General features: G+C 52.3%; 1 protein-coding gene and 1 non-coding gene across 6 annotated transcripts in view, besides 7 other annotated features; both read right to left on the bottom strand.

Annotated features, from left to right (window-relative positions):
- The window catches only part of DNM2 (dynamin 2), a 113825-nt gene extending 97682 nt beyond the window's left edge, over nucleotides 1–16143 (bottom strand). For all 5 annotated transcript variants that reach the window (NM_001005360.3, NM_001190716.2, NM_004945.4 and 2 more), the window contains exon 1: nucleotides 15819–16143. In NM_001005360.3, coding sequence (NP_001005360.1) covers nucleotides 15819–15979 — 161 coding nt within the window. In that variant the 5' untranslated portion in view covers nucleotides 15980–16143. The remainder of the gene's footprint in view (nucleotides 1–15818) is intronic.
- Nucleotides 3150–3199: an enhancer, noted in NCBI's record as "active region_13990". NCBI's record gives its function as "activates an Ori minimal core promoter by ATAC-STARR-seq in GM12878 lymphoblastoid cells {active_cell/tissue: GM12878}" and the evidence as "EXISTENCE:reporter gene assay evidence [ECO:0000049][PMID:35858748]".
- Nucleotides 3240–3289: an enhancer, noted in NCBI's record as "active region_13989". NCBI's record gives its function as "activates an Ori minimal core promoter by ATAC-STARR-seq in GM12878 lymphoblastoid cells {active_cell/tissue: GM12878}" and the evidence as "EXISTENCE:reporter gene assay evidence [ECO:0000049][PMID:35858748]".
- Nucleotides 14985–15124: an enhancer, noted in NCBI's record as "active region_13988". NCBI's record gives its function as "activates an Ori minimal core promoter by ATAC-STARR-seq in GM12878 lymphoblastoid cells {active_cell/tissue: GM12878}" and the evidence as "EXISTENCE:reporter gene assay evidence [ECO:0000049][PMID:35858748]".
- Nucleotides 15615–16284: a silencer, noted in NCBI's record as "silent region_10090". NCBI's record gives its function as "represses an Ori minimal core promoter by ATAC-STARR-seq in GM12878 lymphoblastoid cells {active_cell/tissue: GM12878}" and the evidence as "EXISTENCE:reporter gene assay evidence [ECO:0000049][PMID:35858748]".
- On the bottom strand, nucleotides 15719–15818 carry MIR638 (microRNA 638). The gene has a single exon (NR_030368.1). It is a non-coding gene; the product is annotated as a microRNA 638 (primary transcript).
- Nucleotides 16565–16684: an enhancer, noted in NCBI's record as "active region_13987". NCBI's record gives its function as "activates an Ori minimal core promoter by ATAC-STARR-seq in GM12878 lymphoblastoid cells {active_cell/tissue: GM12878}" and the evidence as "EXISTENCE:reporter gene assay evidence [ECO:0000049][PMID:35858748]".
- Nucleotides 16875–17064: an enhancer, noted in NCBI's record as "active region_13986". NCBI's record gives its function as "activates an Ori minimal core promoter by ATAC-STARR-seq in GM12878 lymphoblastoid cells {active_cell/tissue: GM12878}" and the evidence as "EXISTENCE:reporter gene assay evidence [ECO:0000049][PMID:35858748]".
- Nucleotides 18416–18605: a silencer, noted in NCBI's record as "fragment chr19:10826293-10826482 (GRCh37/hg19 assembly coordinates)". NCBI's record gives its function as "represses an EF-1alpha promoter that drives an FKBP-Casp9 reporter gene in an ReSE screen in K562 erythroleukemia cells {active_cell/tissue: K562}" and the evidence as "EXISTENCE:reporter gene assay evidence [ECO:0000049][PMID:32094911]".

Below are 19721 nucleotides of genomic sequence, written 5' to 3'. Positions count from 1 at the left end.
ACAGGTGTATACCACCACACTCAATTTTTTGTAGAGACAGGGTTTTGATATGTTGTCTAGGCTGGTCTCAAACTCCTGGCCTCAAGTGATCCACCCACCTTGGCCTCCCAAAGTGCTGAGATTACAGTGTGAGCCACAACATCCCGCCAGGCCTCACTTAATAGTAGTATACCAAGGTTAATTTCATTCATTCATTTTTTTTTTTTTATTTTTTGAGATGGAGTCTCCTTTTGTTGTCCAGGCTGAAGTACAGTGGCGCGATCTCGGCTCACTGCAGCCTCCGCTTCCCAGGTTTAAGCAATTCTCCTGCCTCAGCCTCCCAAATAGCTGGGACTACAGGCACATGTCCCCACACCTGGCTAATTTTTTGTATTTTTAGTAGAGATGGGGTTTCGCTATGTTGGCCAGGCTGGTCTTGAACTCCTGACCTCAGGTGATCCACCTGCCTCTGCCTCCCAAAGTGCTGGGATTACAGGCGTGAGCCACCATGTCCGGCCTCATTCATTTATTTTTAGAGAAGAGGTTATGTTGCCAAAGCTGGGCTTTAACTCCTAGACTCAAGCAATCCTCCCGCCTCAGCCTCCTGAGTAGCTAGGTTAATTTCTTGGTTGTAAGAAATATAAAATTAGAGGACACTGGTGAAGGATGTACAGGAGCTCTCTGTGTTATCTTTGTACTTTCTGTAAATTTGAAGCTTATTTATTTTCTCTAAATCTAAAATTATTTCTAGGCAGGGCGTTGTGGCTCATGCTTACAATCCCAGCACTTTGGGAGGCTGAGGCAGGCAGATTACCTGAGCTCAGGAGTTCAAGACCAGCCTGGGCAACATGGAGAAACCCTGTCTCTACCGAAAATAAAAAAAAAATGCCGGCCATTGTGGTGCGCGCCTGTGGTCCCAGCTAGTTGGGAGGCTGTGGTGGGAGAATGGTTTGAGCCCGAGAGGGGGAGGTTGCAGTAAGCCGACATCATGCCACTGCACTCCAACCTGGGTGAAAGAGTGGGACCCTGTCTCCAAAAAAAAAAAAAAAAACCACACCAGCCCAGGCGCGGTGGCTCACACTGGTAATCCCAGCACTTTGGGAGGCCGAGGAGGGTGGATCACCTGAGGTCGGGAGTTCAAGACTAGCCTGGCCAACATGGTGAAACCCCATCTCTACTAAAACTACAAAAATTAGCTGGGCATGGTGACAGGTGTCTGTAATCCCAGCTACTCGGGAGGCTGAGGCAGGAGAATCGCTTGAACCTGGGAGGCGGAGCTTGCAGTGAGCCGAGATCGCGCCATTGCACTCCAGCCTGGGGAACAAGAGCGAGACTTTGTCTCAAAAGAAAAAAAAAACAGAAAACAAAAGCCAAACATTCTTGGAGGCACTAAATATAGCAGGGACCTGGTGCAAGACAGTCACATTCTGTTGAGACTTTGGACTGTGGAGCGGGAGCGTTTGTTACTAGACTTATAGGCTCACTGGTTGGATGAGTCGGGGGTAGTCACACCTAGAAATATATATATATATATAAAAAATCTGGCAAGAGCCACAGACTGCTAGAGGTCGTTCCCATGCAAAGGACACCCAGCCTTACTCTGTGCACTTCCGGACAGGGTGAATTGTTTTTCCTTTTTTTTTGAGACGGAGTCTCGCTCTATCACCCAGGCGGGAGTGCAGTGGCGCGATCTCGGCTCACTGCAAGCTCCGCCTCCTGGGTTCACACCATTCTCTTGCCTCAGCCTCCCGAGTAGCTGGGACTACAGGCGCTCGCCACCACGCCCAGCTAATTCTTTGTATTTTTAGTAGAGGTGGGGTTTCACCGTGTTAGTCAGGATGGTCTCAATCTCCTGACCTCGTGATCCGCCCGCCTCGGCCTCCCAAAGTGCTGGGATTACAGGCATGAGCCACCGCCCGGCCTGTTTTTTTTTTTTTTTTTTTCTCCACAACGAGTAAACAGTTGAATAACTCCTTTAACAGAAAAGAGTTTAAGGGCGCGGTGGCTCATGCCTGTAATCCCAGCACTCTGGGAGGCTGAAGCAGGCGGATAACCTGAGGTCAGGAGTTCAAGACCAGTCTGGCCATGGTGAAACCCAGTCTCTACTAAAAATACAAAAAATTAGCCGGGTGTGATGGTGCACGCCTGTAATCACAGCTACTCGGGAGGCTGAGGCAGAAGAATCGCTTGAACCTGGGAGGCGGAGGTTGCAGCGAGCCGAGATTGCACCATTGCACTCCAGCCTGGGCAACAACAGCGAAACTCCGTCTCAAAAAAAAAAAAAAAAAATCAAGCCTGTGCATCAATTTTCACCCAGTGCTGGGAGCACATTCCAGGTGGGGCCTCCCCACCTCAGAAAGCAGCCTGACCTGAGCTTCCCAGCAACCTGTCCAGGCCACCAGGGCAGGCACCACAGAAGCCGGGCTTCCGTCTGACTGGCTTCCGCCCAGACAACGGGGAACTCAGTGTTGCAAGACAGAGAGATACATCAACCCAAACCACAGGAAGCCTTCGTCAAGCTGAGCCAGTGGCTCGTGGCCTCTCTCAGTCACTGTCCCCTGATGTTGATGTAGAAAAGAACAACCTGGGGGCCGGGCACGGCGGCTCACGCCTGTAATCCCAGAGCCTTGGGAGGCCGAGGCGGGTGGATCACCTGAGGCCAGGAGTTCGAGACCAGCCTGGCCAACATGGCAAAACCCCATCTCTACTAAAAATACAAAAAATTAGCCAGGCGTGGTGGTGCACACCTGTAATCCCAGCTACTCAGGAGGCTGAGGCAGGAGAATCACTTGAACCCAGGAGGTGGAGGTTGCAGTGAGCTGAGATCATGCATTGCACTCCAGCCCGGGCGACACTGTGAGACTCTGCCTCAAAAAAAAAAAAAAAAAGAAGGAAAAGAAAAGAACAACCTGGAAAGGCAGTGTCCTGGTGGCTGCAGGATCCTGGCTGCGCGGCCAGCTGGTAGGCCTCCCGGGGGTGGAGGCTGTGACCCTCTAGAAGGACCCTGTGTATCCATACAAAAGACAGAAGTCTCATGGCCAGGACAGCTGTGTCCCTCCCTGATCCGCCCTGGGGGCTTTCCCCAGGGCTGGCCTGGTCGTGCCAGGGCGTATCACCCAGCAGGCAGGGTCACCCTGGCTGGGGCTGCTCCTGCCCGCTTGACTGGCCCGCCAGGATCGCAGCCCTGAGAAGCTCTCATCACCGCGAAAGTGTGTCACAGGGCAGGCTCCAAGTAGCCTGCTCCTCCTTCACCTGGGCATGGAGGTGTCACCAGGGCCTGGGACAGCTCTGCTGGCCTCTTGTCTACCGCCCCATAGGTCTGCCATGGGAGCGTGTTCAGATTTATCCAAAGGAGGTCTCTTGTAACAGAAAGAGCAGTGGTGCCTGCCCCTGCCAGGGCCACTGAGCAGCCAGGCAGGAAGCAAAAGTCAGAGGGGGCACCCCGCAGGTTGCCATACAGGGCCTCACTCCCACCCTGGAGGGGACGCTGCTAGCCCCATCTTACAGCCCTCGAAGCCAACGCAGATAGACACCCACGCTGCCCAGCCTCAGGGTCTCAGCCTATTACTGTTATTACTCTTTATATAGATGGAGCAAATCTCCACTTCCTCCAAAGGAAGATGTCCTTGCTTCAGGGTCCCTGCATCCCCAGGCAGGCTGTGAGTCTCCAAAACCAAGACCCAGGGCTGTCCTCTGCCTGGTCCCCTCCATGACTGTGCAGTGAAATTCACTCCATTCTGGTTTTTAGCTACTTTTTTTTTTTTGAGACAGGGTCTCGCTCTGTCACCCACGCTGCAGTGCAATGGCACAGTGTGGGCTCACTGCAAGTTCCACCGCTACCCTAGCTCAAGGGATCCTCGCACCTCGGGATTCCAAGTAGCTAAGAGTACAGGCATGCACCACCACGCCTGCTAATTTTTGTATTTTTGGTAGAGACGAGGTCTCACCATGTTGCCCAGGCTGGTCTCAAACTCCTGAGCTCAAGCCATGTTGCCTCGGCCTCCCATAGTGCTGGGATTACAGGCGTGAGTCACCACTTCCAGCCTTTAGCTACTTTCATTCAACAAATATATGCACGTGGCTGGGAGAGGTGGCTCATGTCTACAATCCCAGTACTTTGGGGGGCCAACGTGAAAGGATCGCATGAGCCCAGGAGTTTGAGACCAGCCTTGGCAACATAGAGAAACCCCATCTGTACAAAAGATTATAAACATTAGTTGGGCGTGGTGGCATGTGGTTGTTGTCCCAGGTACTCAGGAGGCTGAGGTAGGAGGATGGCTTGAGCACAGGATGTCAAGGCTGCAGCGAGCCATGACTGTGCCACTGCACTCCAGCCTGGGTGACAGAGTGAGACCTGTTCCAAAAAAAAAAAAAATAACCACCCATAATGGTGCCACGTATTCTCTATAGGTACCAGCATGTACCTAAGTACAGAAACACCAGAGGGGTCTGGCTAGACATACCCTGAAGTGACAGTGGTGCTCCCAGGTAGAGCTGGAGGAAGGGACGGGCTGGGCAGTGTGCTCTTCCTCATCTGTAATGGTTTCCCTTTTTCCAAGAACACTGTCTCCACGCTCTACTTGCGTAATTCAAATTTAGAAAAGTCGGCATTCCACGGGCAGCGTCCTAACTCTCACGTGCCTACTGGTCCTTTCCGGTCCGCAGGGGGCACTCAGCGGGCCGGGTGTGTGCGAGGCCTCTGCACCTGCTGTTTCCCTGGCCTGCGATGCTGTTCCCCCAAGTCCTGGCGGGGCTATTCCACTGCAGGACACCCATCCCAACAAGCCACATGTGAAGCAGCCCCCTGCAGCCATTCCCCCACCCAATGCAGTACAGGGCAAACCGCTTCTCACTCTTCAGAATATTTTTATTTTTGTTTTTTTTGAGATAGAGTTTCGCTCTTGTTGCCCAGGCTGGAGGGCCGTGGCATGATCTCGGATTACTGCAACCTCCACCTCGGATCACTGCAACCTTCAAGTAATTCTCCTGCCTCAGCCTCCCGAGTAGCTGGGATTACAGGTGCCCGCCACCATGCTTGGCTAATTTTTTATATTTTTTTTTTTTTTTTTTTTTTTTTTGAGACGGAGTCTCGCTCTGTCGCCCAGGCTGGAGTGCAGTGGTGCGATCTCGGCTCACTGCAAGCTCCGCCTCCCGGGTTCACGCCATTCTCCTGCCTATATTTTTAGTAGAGATGGGGTTTCGCCATGTTGGCCAGGCTGGTCTCGAACTCCCACCTCAGCCTCCCAAAGTGTTGGGATTACAGGCGTGAACCACCGCATACAGCCTTTTTTTTTTTTTGAGACCGGGTCTTGCTGTCACCCAGGCTGGAGCGCAGTGGTGCAATCATAGCTCAATGCAACCTCGAATTCCTGGGCTCAGGAGATCCTCCCACCTTAGCCTGCTAAGTAGCTGGGACGACAGACAAGTACCACCATGCTCAGCTAATTTTTGTATTTTTGGTAGAGATGGGGCTCGCCATGCTGGCCAGGCTGGTCTCGAACACCTGGCTTCAAGTGATCTGCCCGCCTTGGCCTCTCAAAGTGCTGGGATTACAGGTGTGAGCCCCTGTGCCTGCCCCAGAATGTTCTTGCTCATTTAACTGTTCACCTGTCCTGTCTGTCCCAGTCCCTGCTGGGTGCCCAGCAACTGGTGTAGAGTGGTTGCTGCTTACCACACGCAGGCTGGACACAGAGCTGACAACCTCGATGCATATCCAAAGCCACGCGTTGCTCACTCCCTCTGTAATCTTGGCCCAGTCCTCAGATACAAACGCCATGGTGCCCACCATTCAGCCCTGCTCTCAAGAGTCAGGCCCACACCTTCCCACCCAAAGCCGCCATATGTGTGGCTCTAGAGGGCCCACATCCAGTTCAAGCTCCAACTCCTCTGTCCTCCTCCCTGTGTGACTTCAGGCCAGTCTCCCTCTCTGGCCTCAGTTTCTCTACCTATAAAGCAGGGATGCTAAGAGCAGCAGCTGCCACCCCTGGGCAGAGAAGACACTGGTCAGATCTTGCACATGTGGCACACGGTGATTCTCCATAAACACTGGCTCTTAACATCATAAATGTCCAGCAGCAGATGAAACTGAAACAGTCATCCAGCTCCCGGTTCAAGCTACGGGTGACGCCACAGGGGAAAATTTCCCACCACCCAGCAGGGACCTAGTTACCAATATTCACAGAAACCCAAAACGCACCCGGAAGCAGGCGTCTTTCCTCTCTTTGCAGTCCTGCTTCAGACGCAGGGCCACATTTTCCCTTTATTCAGATTGTAGCTAATGCCCTATAAATATCTCATTATTGGCTTGGATTTTTCCAAAGCTTTAACACAATAAGGGCTTAATTACAGCTTGTAGTTGGCAATCCCAGTAAATTACGGTTTACATGATGTTCTCACTTTTTTTCAGCAGCCGAGGGGCCTATAATTTCAGCACTTTCATTCAAATCGGGCAGAAGTTTGGCAGATGTGGCTCTGAGCCAAATATAAACGCTGAGAGCGACAGCGAGACAGGGTTCCATTCAAAGGCCAGCCTCTACCGCCTAAGCCAACTCTGAAAACTCTAAATCTAACCTAGGCCGGGTGCCGTGGCTCTTGCCTGTAATCCCAGCACTTTGGGAAGCCGAGGCAGGAGAATCACTTGAGCCCAGGGGTTTGAGACTAGCCTGGGCAAAAAATAATGAGACCCCACCTCTACAAAAAATTTCTTAAAATTAGCTGGGGGTGGTGGCGCACACCTGTGGTCCCAGCTAATTGGGAGGCTGAAGTGGGAAGATCCCTTGAGCCCAGGAAGTTGAGGTTGCTGTGAGCTGTGATCACGCCACTGCATTTCAGCCTAGGCAACAGAGTGAGATCCCGTCTCAAAAAAAAACAAAAAAAGAAAAAGAAAAGAAAAGAAAACCTCCTCTCTAAATCTACAACTGTCCCCAAGGCCATCTTCCGCCCTCATCCAGAAACAATCCAGGTTATTACCAGGGGATTTCAATGTTATGAACCTATCAAGGGCTGTTATCCGTCAATAAGTAACTCTGAAAAAGCACTTGGACAGCCTAGAGCGCAGCTTTGGAGAAATCTGTCTTCCTGATTATAAACCTAATCCCCAAACCAGCAAAAACAAACCAAGAATCACATGGGGAGACGATTCACATGTGGGGTTAGGGCAGAGTATGTCTTTCCGGTCTTTTCACTGAGCAAATACAATCGTTTTAAACAAGACAGGATCCCACAGCCCATTTCATCTGGTACCTAACAGGTCTTGTGCAGCTTTCTGGGTCATTAAAGATTCTTCTAGATCCCTCTGAGTAGCGAGTTGATAGTCGGTTGTCTGGACACGCTTATCTGGCCAAATCCCCTATCATTGGTTTTTGTTTGTTTGTTTGTTTTGAGACAGAGTCTCGCTCTGTTGCCCAGGCTGGAGTGCAGCGGCGCAATCTCGGCTTACCGCAACCTCCGTCCCCCAGGTTCAAGCGATTCTCCGCCTCAGCCTCCCGAATAGCTGGGATTACAGGCGCCTGCCACCACGCCCGGCTAATTTTTGTATTTTTAGTAGAGATGAGGGTTCACCATGTTGGCCAGGCTGGTCTCGAACTCCTGACCTCTGGTGATCCGATGCTGGGCATTTTTTCTCCCATTTCTCATCACCGTACACAAAATGTGTGTAAATAACTCTCACGGCCAATTACTTGTTTGCAGCCATGATTCCCACTTAGAAAGGAACCAGGAACAACTTCTGGTCGATATTTCAGGATCTGGGGAACAGGGCGTGCCTGCATGTCCTGGTCCTGGCTGTATCCCCAGAGCAAGAACATTGCCTGCACTGATAGGCACTCCATTTATATCAACAGAGTAATGATGAGTTCCTTCTCTTTAAGGAAAAAGAAACTAAGGCCGGGTTCGGCGGCTCACACCTGTAATTCCACCACTTTGGGAAGCCAAGGCAGGAGGATCGCTTGGGCCCAGGAGTTTGACACCAAACTGAGCAACAAAGTAAGACCCTGTCTCTAAAAAAAAAAAAATTTTTTTTTTTTGAGGCAGAGTCTCGCTCTGTCGCCCAGGCTGGAGTGCAGTGGCACGATCTCGGCTCACTGCAACCTCCGCCTCCCAGGTTCAAGCGATTCTCCTGCCTCAGCCTCCCGAGCAGCTGGGACTACAGGTGAGAGCCACCACACCCACCTAATTTTTGGATTTTTAGTAGAGACAGGGTTTCACCATGTTGGCCAGGATGGTCTCAATCTCTTGACCCCGTGATCCGCCCGCCTCGGCCTCCCCAAGTGCTGGGAATACAAGTGTGAGCCATCGCTCCCTGCCAAAAAAATTTTTTTGTAATTAGCCAGGTGTGGTGGCTCATGCCTATAGTCCCAGCTACTCAGGAGACTCAGGTGAGAGGACCACCTGAACCCAGGAGTTGGAGGCTGCAGTGAGCCATGATTACGCCACTGTACTCCAGTCTGGGGGACAGAGCAAGAGAAAAGAAACGTACACCTGTCATCAGAGTCCTGATCCCAGATAAAAGGAGACAAAAGCCAACCAACGAGATCACAAATGCTGCCTGTTTCACAACAATTTGCTACGTGATTCTCAGTCCACTCCCAGTAGGCAGAGACCACCATGTTCCCATTTTCCAGATGAGGAAACTGAGGCCCAGAGAAGTGAGGTCACTTTTTTGGTGTGTGGCAGAACCAAGCCTTCCATATTCCCACAGATCCCTCTGGACTGTACCAATTCCAGCAGGCCCAGCACTGCAGACCACCCTAACCGAGCCTTGCATGGCCTTTCCTTTTTTCCTTTTTTTTTTTTTTTTGAGATGGAGTCTCACTCTGTCCCCCAGGCTGGAGTGCAATGGCGTGATCTCCGCTTACTGCAAGTTCCTCCTCCTGGGTTCAAGTGATTCTCCTGCCTCAGCCTCCCAAATAGCTGGGACTAAAGGCATGCGCCACCACACCTGGCTAATTTTTGTATTTTTAGTAGAGATCGGGATTCACTATGTTGGCCAGGCTGGTCTCAAACTCCCAACCTTGTGATCTGCCTGCCTCGGCCTCCCAAAATGCTGGGATTACAGGTGTGAGTCACCATGCCCGGCCATGTATGGCCTTTTCAAGATGCAATTTGTCTTTGCCCAAAAGGAAAGTCACTGGAAACAGAAGATGTCATTTCCAAGTGGCTCTAAACTAATAAGATCTGTTAAAGGGACAAACCAGCCCAAGGAACACATCACGTGCCCCTCCATCTGTCAGGGACAGGAGCCAACGGGCATCCGATGTGCACTGGTGCAGCACCCACTGAGGCACAGGCAGTGCCCCCGCGGCTCATCCACATATCCCTGGAGGGACACATCACCAAAGGCCAAATAAAAACGCAGCTGGAAACGCCAGCATCCCCGGCACAGCTGCTTCTTATTAAAAGAAAAATGGCACGGGGCGCCTACATGCCTGTGGAGTCTGCTTACTGAGAAAACTGAGTTGAAGCTGGAAATCAAAGGAGAGAGCCCTCAGCTTGGCCAGGTCCAGAGGGACAGCAGTAGCGCCACCAGCTTTACTTCCCTCTGCTCAGACAGCCTCCCTGCCCACAATGTTCCTAGAGGCCTGGTCCCACCCTAATATCTCCCAGATCTGATCTCCCTCCACTGGCCTGCTAAACTGGCCTCCGGGCATCCTCCCACATCAGGACCTTTGCACTGGATTCTCTTCCCGTCTCCAGGGGTTCCTTCCTCGCCTCCTTCAAGGCTCTGCTCAAATGTCACCAATTTCCCTATTTAAAATGTACCCCCTCTGGCCAGGCGCAGTGGCTCACGCCTGTTATCCCAGCACTTTGGGAGGCCGAGGCGGGCGGATCACGAAGTCAGGAGATCGAGACCATCCTGGCTAACATGGTGAAACTCCATCTCTACTAAAAATACAAAAAATTAGCCGGGCCTGGTGGCAGGCGCCTGTAATCCCAGCTACTCGGGAGGCTGAGGCAAGAGAATGGCGTGAACCTGGGAGGCGGAGGTTGCAGTGAGCCGAGATCGCGTGACTGCACTCCAGCCTGGAAGACAGAGTGAGACTCCGTCTCAAAGAATAATAATATAATAAAATAAAATGTACCCCCTCCAACTGTGATCTCTCCCTCATCCTGCTCCTTGATCCTTTTTTCCATCATACTTATCGCCTTTTTTTTTTTTTTTGAGACGAGGTCTCGTTCTTCCGCCCAGGCTGGAAGGCAGTAGCGTGATCAGAGCTCACTGCAGCCTTGAAATCCCAGGCTCAAGCCATCCTCCGGCCTCAGCCTCCTGAGTAGCTGGGACTACAGGTGTCACCATGCCCAGCTAATGTTTTTATTTTTTGTAGAGACGGGGTCTATGTTGCCCAGGCTGGTCTCCAACTTCTGGGCTCAAGTGATCCTCCCGCCTGGATCCCAAAGAGCTGAGATTGTGGGCCTGAGCCACTAAGTGGCCCATGCTTCTCCTTTATTTGCTTCCTGCTGAAAGGCCAGCTCCTCCAGAGCAGAAGTTCTGGTAACTTGCTCAGGGCCATGTCCCCAGGCACACAGTAAAAGTACTCAGGAAACATTTTTTAATGAACGAACAACACCTAATGTTTTAAGCACTTCTTCTATGCCAAGCACTCCAAACTGTCTCACTTAATCCCTATTCAAGAAAGGGAAAGAAGTGCTATTATAACTCCTATTTTAAAGAAGACGGGGCTGGGCGCGGTGGCTTACACCTGCAATCCCAGCACCTTGGGAGGCCAAGGCAGGAAGATCACTTGAGGTCAGGAGTTTGGAACCAGCCTGGCCAACATGGCGAAACCCCATCTCTATTAAAAATAGAAAAATTAGCCGGGCACGGTGGCTCACGCCTGTAATCCCAGCACTTTGGGAGGCCATGGCCGGCAGATCACCTGAGGTCGGGAGTTCGAGACCAGCCTGACCAACACGGGAAAACCCCGCCTCTACTAAAAATACAAAATTAGCCAGGCGTGGTGGTGCATGCCTGTAATCCCAGCTACTCAGGAGGCTGAGGCAGGAGAATGGCTTGAAACCAGGAGGGGAGGTTGCGGTGAGCCAAGATCGTGCCATTGCACTCCAGCCTGGGCAACAAGAATGAAACTCCGTCTCAAAAAAAAAAAAAAAAAAATTAGCCAGGTGTGGTGGCTCGCAACTGTAGTCCCAGCTACTCGGGAGGCTGAGACAGGAGAATCACTTGAACTCAGGAGGCGAGATTGCAGTGAGCCGAGATCGCACCACTGCACTCCAGCCTGGGCAACAGAGCCAGACTCCGTCTCAAAAAAAAAAAAGAAAGGGAAAGAAGTGCTATTATAACTTGTATTTTAATGAAGAGGAGGCTGGGCGCAGTGGCTCACACCTGTAATGCCAGCACGTTGGGAGACTGATGCAGGAGGATCATTTGAGGCGAGGAGGTCGAGACCAGCCTGGGCAACACAGCAAGGCCCTGTATCTACAAAAAATGAAAAATTAGCCAAGCGTGGTGGCACGTGCCTGTAGTCCCAGCTACTTAGGAGGCTGAGAGGTAGGAGAATCGCTTGAGCCCAGGAGGTCAAGGCTGCAGTGAGCAGAGATGGTGCCACTGCACTCTAGCCTGGGTGACAGTATAAGACCCTATCTCAGGCCAGGCGCGGTGGCTCACGCCTGTAATCCCAGCACTTTGGGAGGCCGAGGTGGACGGATCACAAGGTCAGAAGATTGAGACCATCCTGGCTAACATGGTGAAACCTCGTCTCTACTAAAAATACAAAAATTAGCCAGGCGTGGTGGCGGGTGCCTGCAGTCCCAGCTACTCGGGAGGCTAGGGTGCGGGAATGCCTAAGGCCTTCCTTCTGGCCAGCCCCTGAGGCTAAATGACAAGGGTCAAGAGGGAGTGATGCCCTCCTTTCTCCTTAGGGCCAAAGTTCTATCTGCTGGTGCACCGCAGACAAGCCAGGGGTCTCAAACTCAAAGGTTCCAGGGCCAGGAGGCTCCAAGCAAAATGATCTAGGCCTGGGTGAGTGCTAGGGAGTAGTGGGGACTGTGGCAGCTGGAGTGGCCACTCTTAGTCTGATGGGACAGTGACTGGTGCTTCTGAAATCGAAGCCATTACTGCCACAAGGGACAAAGGCTCAGCAACGCCAGGTGAAACTGATTACAACAACAGCCACCATGCGTATAAGACACATGCACTCGGCACGCATCACCCAATCACCCATCTAGGCCCCAGGGTACCAGTTACCACCCTCAGCTTACAGAAAAGGAATCTGAGGCCCAGAACGCCAAATCCACGTGGCCGAGTCGCACAGCCAGACATGGTGGAACCAGGCCTTAGGCCCACAGCCTTTGCATGACAACTCAGAACTCTATAGATCTGAGTGTCTTAGAGCCACAAGAAATCCGGATATTGACTGGAAATCTAACACTGGAAAGTCTTATTAAAAACAAAAGCTACGCAGGTAAAACAAAAGACCCAGCAGGCAGGCCTTGGCCCCCAGAGCCAGTGATCTGGACTTCCAGCTATAGGGCTGAACTAACTGGGCTGTTCCCACTCGGACCACATCCTTAGAAAATCCAGGCTCGGCGCAATGGCTCACACCTGTAATCCTAGTGCTTTTAGAGGCAGAGGCAGGAGGATTGCTTGAGCCCTGGAGTTCGAGGCTGCAATGAGCTAGGACTGCACCCCTCCACTCCAACCTCGGCAACAAAGAGAGACCTTATCTCTTACACCCCCCCAAAAAAAAGTAAGCCTTGTTTGAGCCCCTCATACCCAAAGAGAGGCCTTTTTACAACTTTGGCTTTCAGGTACTGAATTAATACTCTTAACGAGGCCAGCCATGGTGGTTCACACCTTTAATGCCAGCATTTTGGGTGGCCGAGGTGGGCGGATCACCTGAGGTCAGGAGTTCAAGACCAGCCTGGCCAACATGGTGAAACCCCATCTCTGCTAAAAATACAAAAATTAGCCGGGTGTGGTAACGCGCGCCTGTAATCCCAGCTACTCGGGAGGCTGAGGTATGAGAATCGCTTGAACATGGGAGGTGGAGGTTGCAGTAAGCTGAGATAACACCACTGCACTCCAGCCTGGGGAACAGAGTGAGACTCGGTGTAAAAATATATATATAATGAGCAACTCCTGCATTGCAGGATTCTAGGAGGTCGCCACAGGAACCAGCTCCATACTGGCCGGCAGCTGCCAGACACCATGGTAGACAGGAGAGAAAGGCAAGGGGTAGAGGGACTGAGGAGAGGTAAGGATGGGAGAGAGACCCAGGTTCCCAACCCAGAACACCTAACTCCTCACTTTACAGCCTCCAGTGAGAGTGTTCTGCTCAGCTATCTGAGCCTCAGTTTCCTGCTCTGTAAAATGGGGATTATAGCAATGCCTCCCTCATAAGGCTTAAGTGTGTAACGTGAAAGCACTTTCATTCTGGTTAGCTTTTGTCCCTGATAGCAAAGGAACCAGCCAGATAAACAACAATAGCCCCATCCATGTAGACCTACTATGTGCCAGGCAGTGCGTTAGGTAAGTAAGCACTTTTTCTTTTCTTTTTTTGAAACCGGATCTGGTTCTGTCACCCAGGCTGGAGGGTAATGGTGCAATCACGGCTCACTGCAGTCTGGACATCCTGGGCTCAAGCAGTCCTCCCAGGGCCAGCCTCCTGAGTTGCTGGGACTACAGGTGTGGGACTACCACCCTACCTGGCTAATTTTTTTATTTTTTGTAGAATGGCATCTTGTCATGTTACCCAGGCTGGTCTTGGAACTCCTGGGGCGAGGCTTGGTGGCTCACACCTGTAATCCCAGCACTCTGGGAGGCCAAGGCATGAGGATCACTTGAGGTAAGTAGTTTGAGACCAGCCTGGCCAACATGGTGAAACCCCGTCTCTACTAAAAATACAAAAATTAGTTGGGCTTGGTGGTAGACGCCTGTAATCCCAGCTACTCGGGAGGCTGAGGCAGAAGAATGGCCTGAACCTGGGAGGCAGAGGTTGCAGTGAGCCAAGATTGCTCCACTGCACTCCAGACTGGATGACAGAGGGAGACTCTGTCTCAAAAAAAAAAAAAATAAATAAATAAATAAAATAAAATAAACTTGTTTAGGAGAGTCAACCAAGACTTAGAGAGGCCAAGACAACCTGTGCAAGGTCACAAGGCAAGTGAAAGAGACAGAGCTTTGCAAACACCCCCCACCCCCGTCCCAGAAGCCTGGGCAGGCAGGAAGATGGTCACTCAAAGGGGCCCACACCACAGTCCAGCCTGAGATCAGGCCAGGCCCAGCTGGCTGCAAGTCCACACCTTTCCACCACGGTAGACAGAAGGCAATGAGCTAGAGACAAGGTAGCAAAAGAGGAGATTTGTGCTGCTTGGAGCAAAGCCCCAAGGCTCTGGGATGGCAGACACAAGGCCTTACGCCAGCCTAGTGGCCTTGGGTGATCACAGTCCCTTCTGAGCCTCCCAGCTCAGCTAAGGTGGGGATGATAACACAGCCTCCACCCCACTCCTTACTTGGGATTCAAGATGTTGAATCAAGAAGGGACATTATCCCTTGACAATGATAACAACAATAACAATGACAATAATGACAGGAGGAGGATGTTATCATTTGGCAGCCACACCACCACAAATGAGTAGTTCCTGGAATGGAGAAGTGGCCGCCCATCTGGGAGACAAGAAAGGCAAGAGGGGTTGGTGGGAGGGAGAGGTGGCTGCACGGGCTGTTCTCATTCATTTGCTTCCTGAATCCTGGAAACAGCCCCAGAGAGTGGAGTTTGCCCACTGGACAGATGGGCACACCGCGGCTTCTCAAGGCTGTCCAGAGAAGGCTACATCCCAGCGCTAGCCACTGAGGCCTGATCACGCAAGAAGCCCCTTCCCAGGCTCCAAAGGAGGGCCCCCAATTTGTAGGCTGTAGCTGGGAGGCGGGCCCCTGTGTTCTAGCACTCGGAAAGGAATCCTGAAGTAAGGTACCCCCAGAGTCCTCCTTCCAGCTGAGAGGGGAAGTAGGGTCCAAACCTCCTCCTTCAGCTCTGTTCTCCCCTCTACCCTCCTACCACCCCTTTCCAGAGCCGTTGTGCCAGACACTCAGGGGTAGTCATGGGCAGACTAGGAGATGGCCAGACAGACAGAAGAATTCACACGGAAGAGAGGAGCCAGCGCTAGCCAGGAATCAAGCTGTAAGAGTCAGCCAGAGAGAATCAAACAGGGTCCCCTAGGAGTCAGCTAGCCAGTCAGACAGTAGAGGCCAGCTGGTGTCACCCAACAGAGGGACTGCTCAGTGTTAAAGTCTGTGAGGGGCACGGATGGGCGGCCAGACAGCAGAGGTCACCCTGGACAGCTAGCCAGACAGCAGGGGGCTGCCAGGTGGGACTGGACAGATGGACAACCAAATGGTGGTGGCAGGGAGGCTTGCCCAGGACAGAGAGACAGCCAACCAGACGGCGGGGGCAGCTCCAGATACAAGAACAAGCCAGCCAGACCGCAGCGGTCGCCCCAATAGATATCTAGATGGCCGGTTTCACCTCTGATGGACAGCCCGAAAGAGCAGAAGAGGGATCTACCCCAGACCCACGGCCAACCAGATGGCAGACTTCACCCACGAAAGCTGGGACCAGATGGACCGCAGGGTTCCAGCGCACCTCCTGTCCTACGGCGCCCTGGCCCGTGACACCGCCCCTGGGGCCCGGGCCTGCTCCGGAGCCCCTGCAGGGAGTCCTCTGCCCAGGGCGTCCCACAGGGCCCGCCTCCCCGACCCCGTCCGGTTCCCCGCCGCGGGCACGCAAGCGCCGCAGTTACGCCGGCGGCGCACGGCGCGCCATTCCCGGTCCGCCCTCCGCGCCCTAGGCCGCCACCCGCCCGCGATCCCTGCCGCGCCCGCTCACCGGCCCACGAAGTTCTCCAGCACCGAGCTCTTGCCGGCGCTCTGGCCGCCCACTACAGCGATCTGCGGCAGGTCCAGGTGGCAGCTCTGGCCGATGGAGCTGAAGGCGTCCTGCAGTTTGTTGACCAGCGGGATCAGCTCTTCCATCCCGCGGTTGCCCATGGCGCCGGCGGCCCCCGGCCCGAGCGCCCTGCGCTCCTCGCCCGCCGCCGACCCTCAACGACCTGGCCCCGCGGCGTCTGTAGCCGTTGCTCCCCGCCCGCCCGGGCCTCGGCAAGACGCCCGCTCCCGGCTCGGCCTCACGGTCGCCGCCTCATCCGGTTCTCAGGCGACACCCGACCCGAGCGACCTCCCGCCCCGGCCCCGGGGGCTGCGCCCAAAGCACTCGCGCCGCACGCGACTGGCCTGCTGCACCGCCACTCGGATACACTAGCCAATAAAAACTAGGCACGGGCCTATGGTTGAGTAAACCTTCCCCCTGGGGACCGTCTTGCTGACTTATTGGACAAAAGAACCGTCACTGTTGTGCAACAGCCAATAGCGGCAGAAAGCAAGTTGTCAAGAGAGGAAGGGGGTGTTTCCGAAAAAGGCACGTTGGCTCTGCCCATTGGCGAAGTTCCACCATCTTATTGGCAGGCAGACGTGCCAGTAGACAATGTGGACCAATGGTGTTGGGGATTGAGCTACTACCTCGTTCCCTAAGAATTTCCCATTGGTTCATATAAATATCACTTCGTTGCTCCAGCCAACCAGGCAAAAGAGGGCGGGCTTTAACATCCGAATCTTGACTATCATTGAGAACCATATCTGTCAATCAGAAAAACTCCCGTTCTTCCTTGTGATTGTTGGATGTCTGCAACAGCCTTCTGAAGTATAGGATAGATCCCACCGTACTCGCTCAAGGGCGACACCTCGTGGTGGGATCCGATGTCTCGATTTTTGAGTTTCCTGGCACTGGGGAAAACTACAAGTCCCAGAGCGCATCTCAGTTCCCAGACTGCAAACCAGCTCTGGGAGCAGGGTCCCAATGCGCTCTGCAAATGGTAGAGGCCAAGTCATTGCTTCCTAGGGATAGAACGCAATAAAATCACTCCTCCACGCCTTTGCAAATGCTGTGCCCTTTCTGCTCACGCCCGATCTTGACGCCGCTAACACTCCAATGTTTTCCCCCACTTCTTCAACTTTAGCAGATCATGAATCTTTTTTCTTTTCTTTTTTTTGAGGCGGGGTACTCACTCTGTCACCCAGGCTGGAGTGCAGTAGCGCGATCTTGGCTCACTGCAACCTCCGCCTCCCCGGTTCAACCAATTCTCCTGCCTCAGCCTCCCGAATAGCTGGGATTACAAGTGTGAGCCACCACGCCCAGCTAATTTTGTATTTTTAGTAGACGGGGTTTCACCATATTGGCCAGGCTGGTCTCGAACGCCTGGCCTCAAGTGATCCGCCCGTCTTGGCCTCCCAAAGTGTTGGAATTACAGGTGTGAGCCACCGCGTCTAGCTAATGAATCTTCTTTTCTTAGAAACTGGGTCCTTACTCTGTTGCCCAGGCTGGGGTGCAGTAGTGCACTCATAGCTCAATTCAACAAGCACCTGGGCTCAAACGATCCTCCCGCCTCAGCGTCCCGAGTAGCTGGAACCACAGACGTGCGCAACTATGCCCAGCTAATTATTTTTATTTTATTTTTTATAGAGACAGGGTCTTGCTGTGTTGTCCAGGCTGGTCTCAAACTCCTGCGCCCAAACGACCCTCACAGGCCGGCCTCCCAAAAGTGCTGGGATTACATGTGTGAACCCCCCCAACTGGCTTTAGATCTTTTTGAGTACCCACTAAAACTCAACAAATCCTCTCCCCGTGAAAAGACACGCTATTTTGTAGGCAAAATTGGGGTTCTGGGAACTGGAACTCCTGACAGTGGACAGAGACAAATAGGAGGATTTGAAGTGTTTTGACCCCTCTGGAGACAAATAGGCCAGAGACAAGGAAACCCAGTGAGAAGGCAGGAGCAGGTAAGTGCTCTGACCTGAGGCAGCACAAGAAGATGGAGAAAGAGGAGGAGGGTGGCTCATGGCATTTGCCTGTTTTGTGACCCAAAACCCCAGGTCTCAAAGAAATAGGCAAAAAGCGCCAGGTGCGGTGGCTCATGCCTGTAATCCCAGCACTTTGGGAGGCCAAGGAGGGCAGATCACCTGAGGTTAGAGGTTCGAAACCAGCTTGGCTAACATAGTGAAACCACGTTTCTACTAAAAATACAAAAAATTAGCCAGGCGTGGTGGTGCGTGCCTGTAATCCCAGCTACTCGAGAGGCTGAGGCAGGAGAATCGCTTGAACACGGGACGCAGAAGTTGCGGTGAGCTGAGATCGCACCGCTGCACTCCAGCCTGGGCAACAAGAGCAAAACCCCGTCTCAAAAACAAATAAACAAACAAACAAAAACGTTGAGGAAACTCTTCATGTACTGAAGTATAAATAATTTGAGATATACTAAGAGGAAAAAACAAGCAAGGTACAGAACTGTGTGTGAAGGATGCTGACATGCATGAAAACCATATGTACACACGGAAAATTGCTGGAAAAATACATAAATTGATAAAAGTAGTTGCACTTTTGATGTGATTTGAATTGTGGATTACATACATGTATTACTTTTTCACTTTTTTTTTTTTTTGAAACAGAGTCTTGCTCTGTAGCCCAGGCTGGAGTGCAGTGATGCAATCTCAGCTCACTGCAACCTCCGCCTCCCGGGTTCAAATGATTCTCCTGCCTCAGCCTTTCAAGTAGCTGGGACTACAGGCGCCTGCCACCATACCTGGCTAATTTTTGTATTTTTAGTAGAGATGGGGTTTCACCATGTTGGCCAGGCTGGTCTCGAACTCCTGACCCAGATGACCCTCCCTCCTTGGCCTCCCAAAGTGCTGGGATTGCAGGTGTGAGCCACCGCGCTTGGACTTTTTTTTTCTTTTCTTTTCTTTTTTTGAGATGGAGGCTTGCTCTGTCTCCCAGGCTGGAGTACAGTAGTGCGATCTTGGCTCACTGCAACCTCCAAGTCCTGGCTTCAAGCGATATTCCTGCCTCAGCCTCCAGAGTAGCTGGGATTACAGGCACGTGCCACCACACCCAGCTAATTTTTGTATATTTAGTAGAGATGGGGTTTCACCATGTTGGCCAGGCTGGTCTTGAACTCCTGACCTCATGATCTGCCCTCCTTGGCCTCCCAAAGTGCTAGGATTACAGGTGTGAGCCACCACCACGTCCAACCTTTTTTTTTTTTTTTTTAGACGAAATCTCGCTGTCTCTCAGGGTGGCGTGCAGTGGTGCGATCTCGGCTCACTGCCACCTCCACGTCCTGGGTTCAAGTGATTCTCCTGCCTCAGCCTCCAGAGTAGCTGGGATTACAGGTGTGAGCCACTGCACCTGGCCTACTTTTTCCATTTCAAAAACTTCATTTTTGAAGAGCACTGGTTTTTGTTTTTGAGACAGAGTCTCACTCCGCTGCCCAGGCTGGAGTGCAGTGGTGCAATTGCAGCCTCAACCTCCTGGGCTCAAGCAATCCTCCCACCTCAGCTTCCTCAGTAGCTGGGAGCACAGATGCACACCACCTGTATTTTTTGTAAAGAAGGAGTTTCACCGTGTTGCCCAGGCTGGTGAAGATCACTAGCTCTGTAACTGATCATATCTGGGTTAGATCCTGGGCCTGTTTATTTACTGATTATTATGGTCTGAATGTTTATAGACCAGCCCTCTACCCCATCACCCACCACACCAAGATTGACATGATGAAACCTAATCCCCAACATGATGGTAATTGGAGGTGGAGCCTTTGGAAGGCGATTAGGTGATTAGGTGAATGGGATTTGTGCCCTTATGTATTTTTTTTTCTTTTCACAAACCTGCTGAGCTTCTCAC

Source organism: Homo sapiens, chromosome 19 (assembly GCF_000001405.40).
Source record: "Homo sapiens chromosome 19, GRCh38.p14 Primary Assembly".
Classification (NCBI taxonomy): Eukaryota; Metazoa; Chordata; class Mammalia; order Primates; family Hominidae; genus Homo; species Homo sapiens.
Note: the sequence above shows the minus strand (reverse complement) of the source record. Positions and strands in the feature narration are given on the sequence as shown.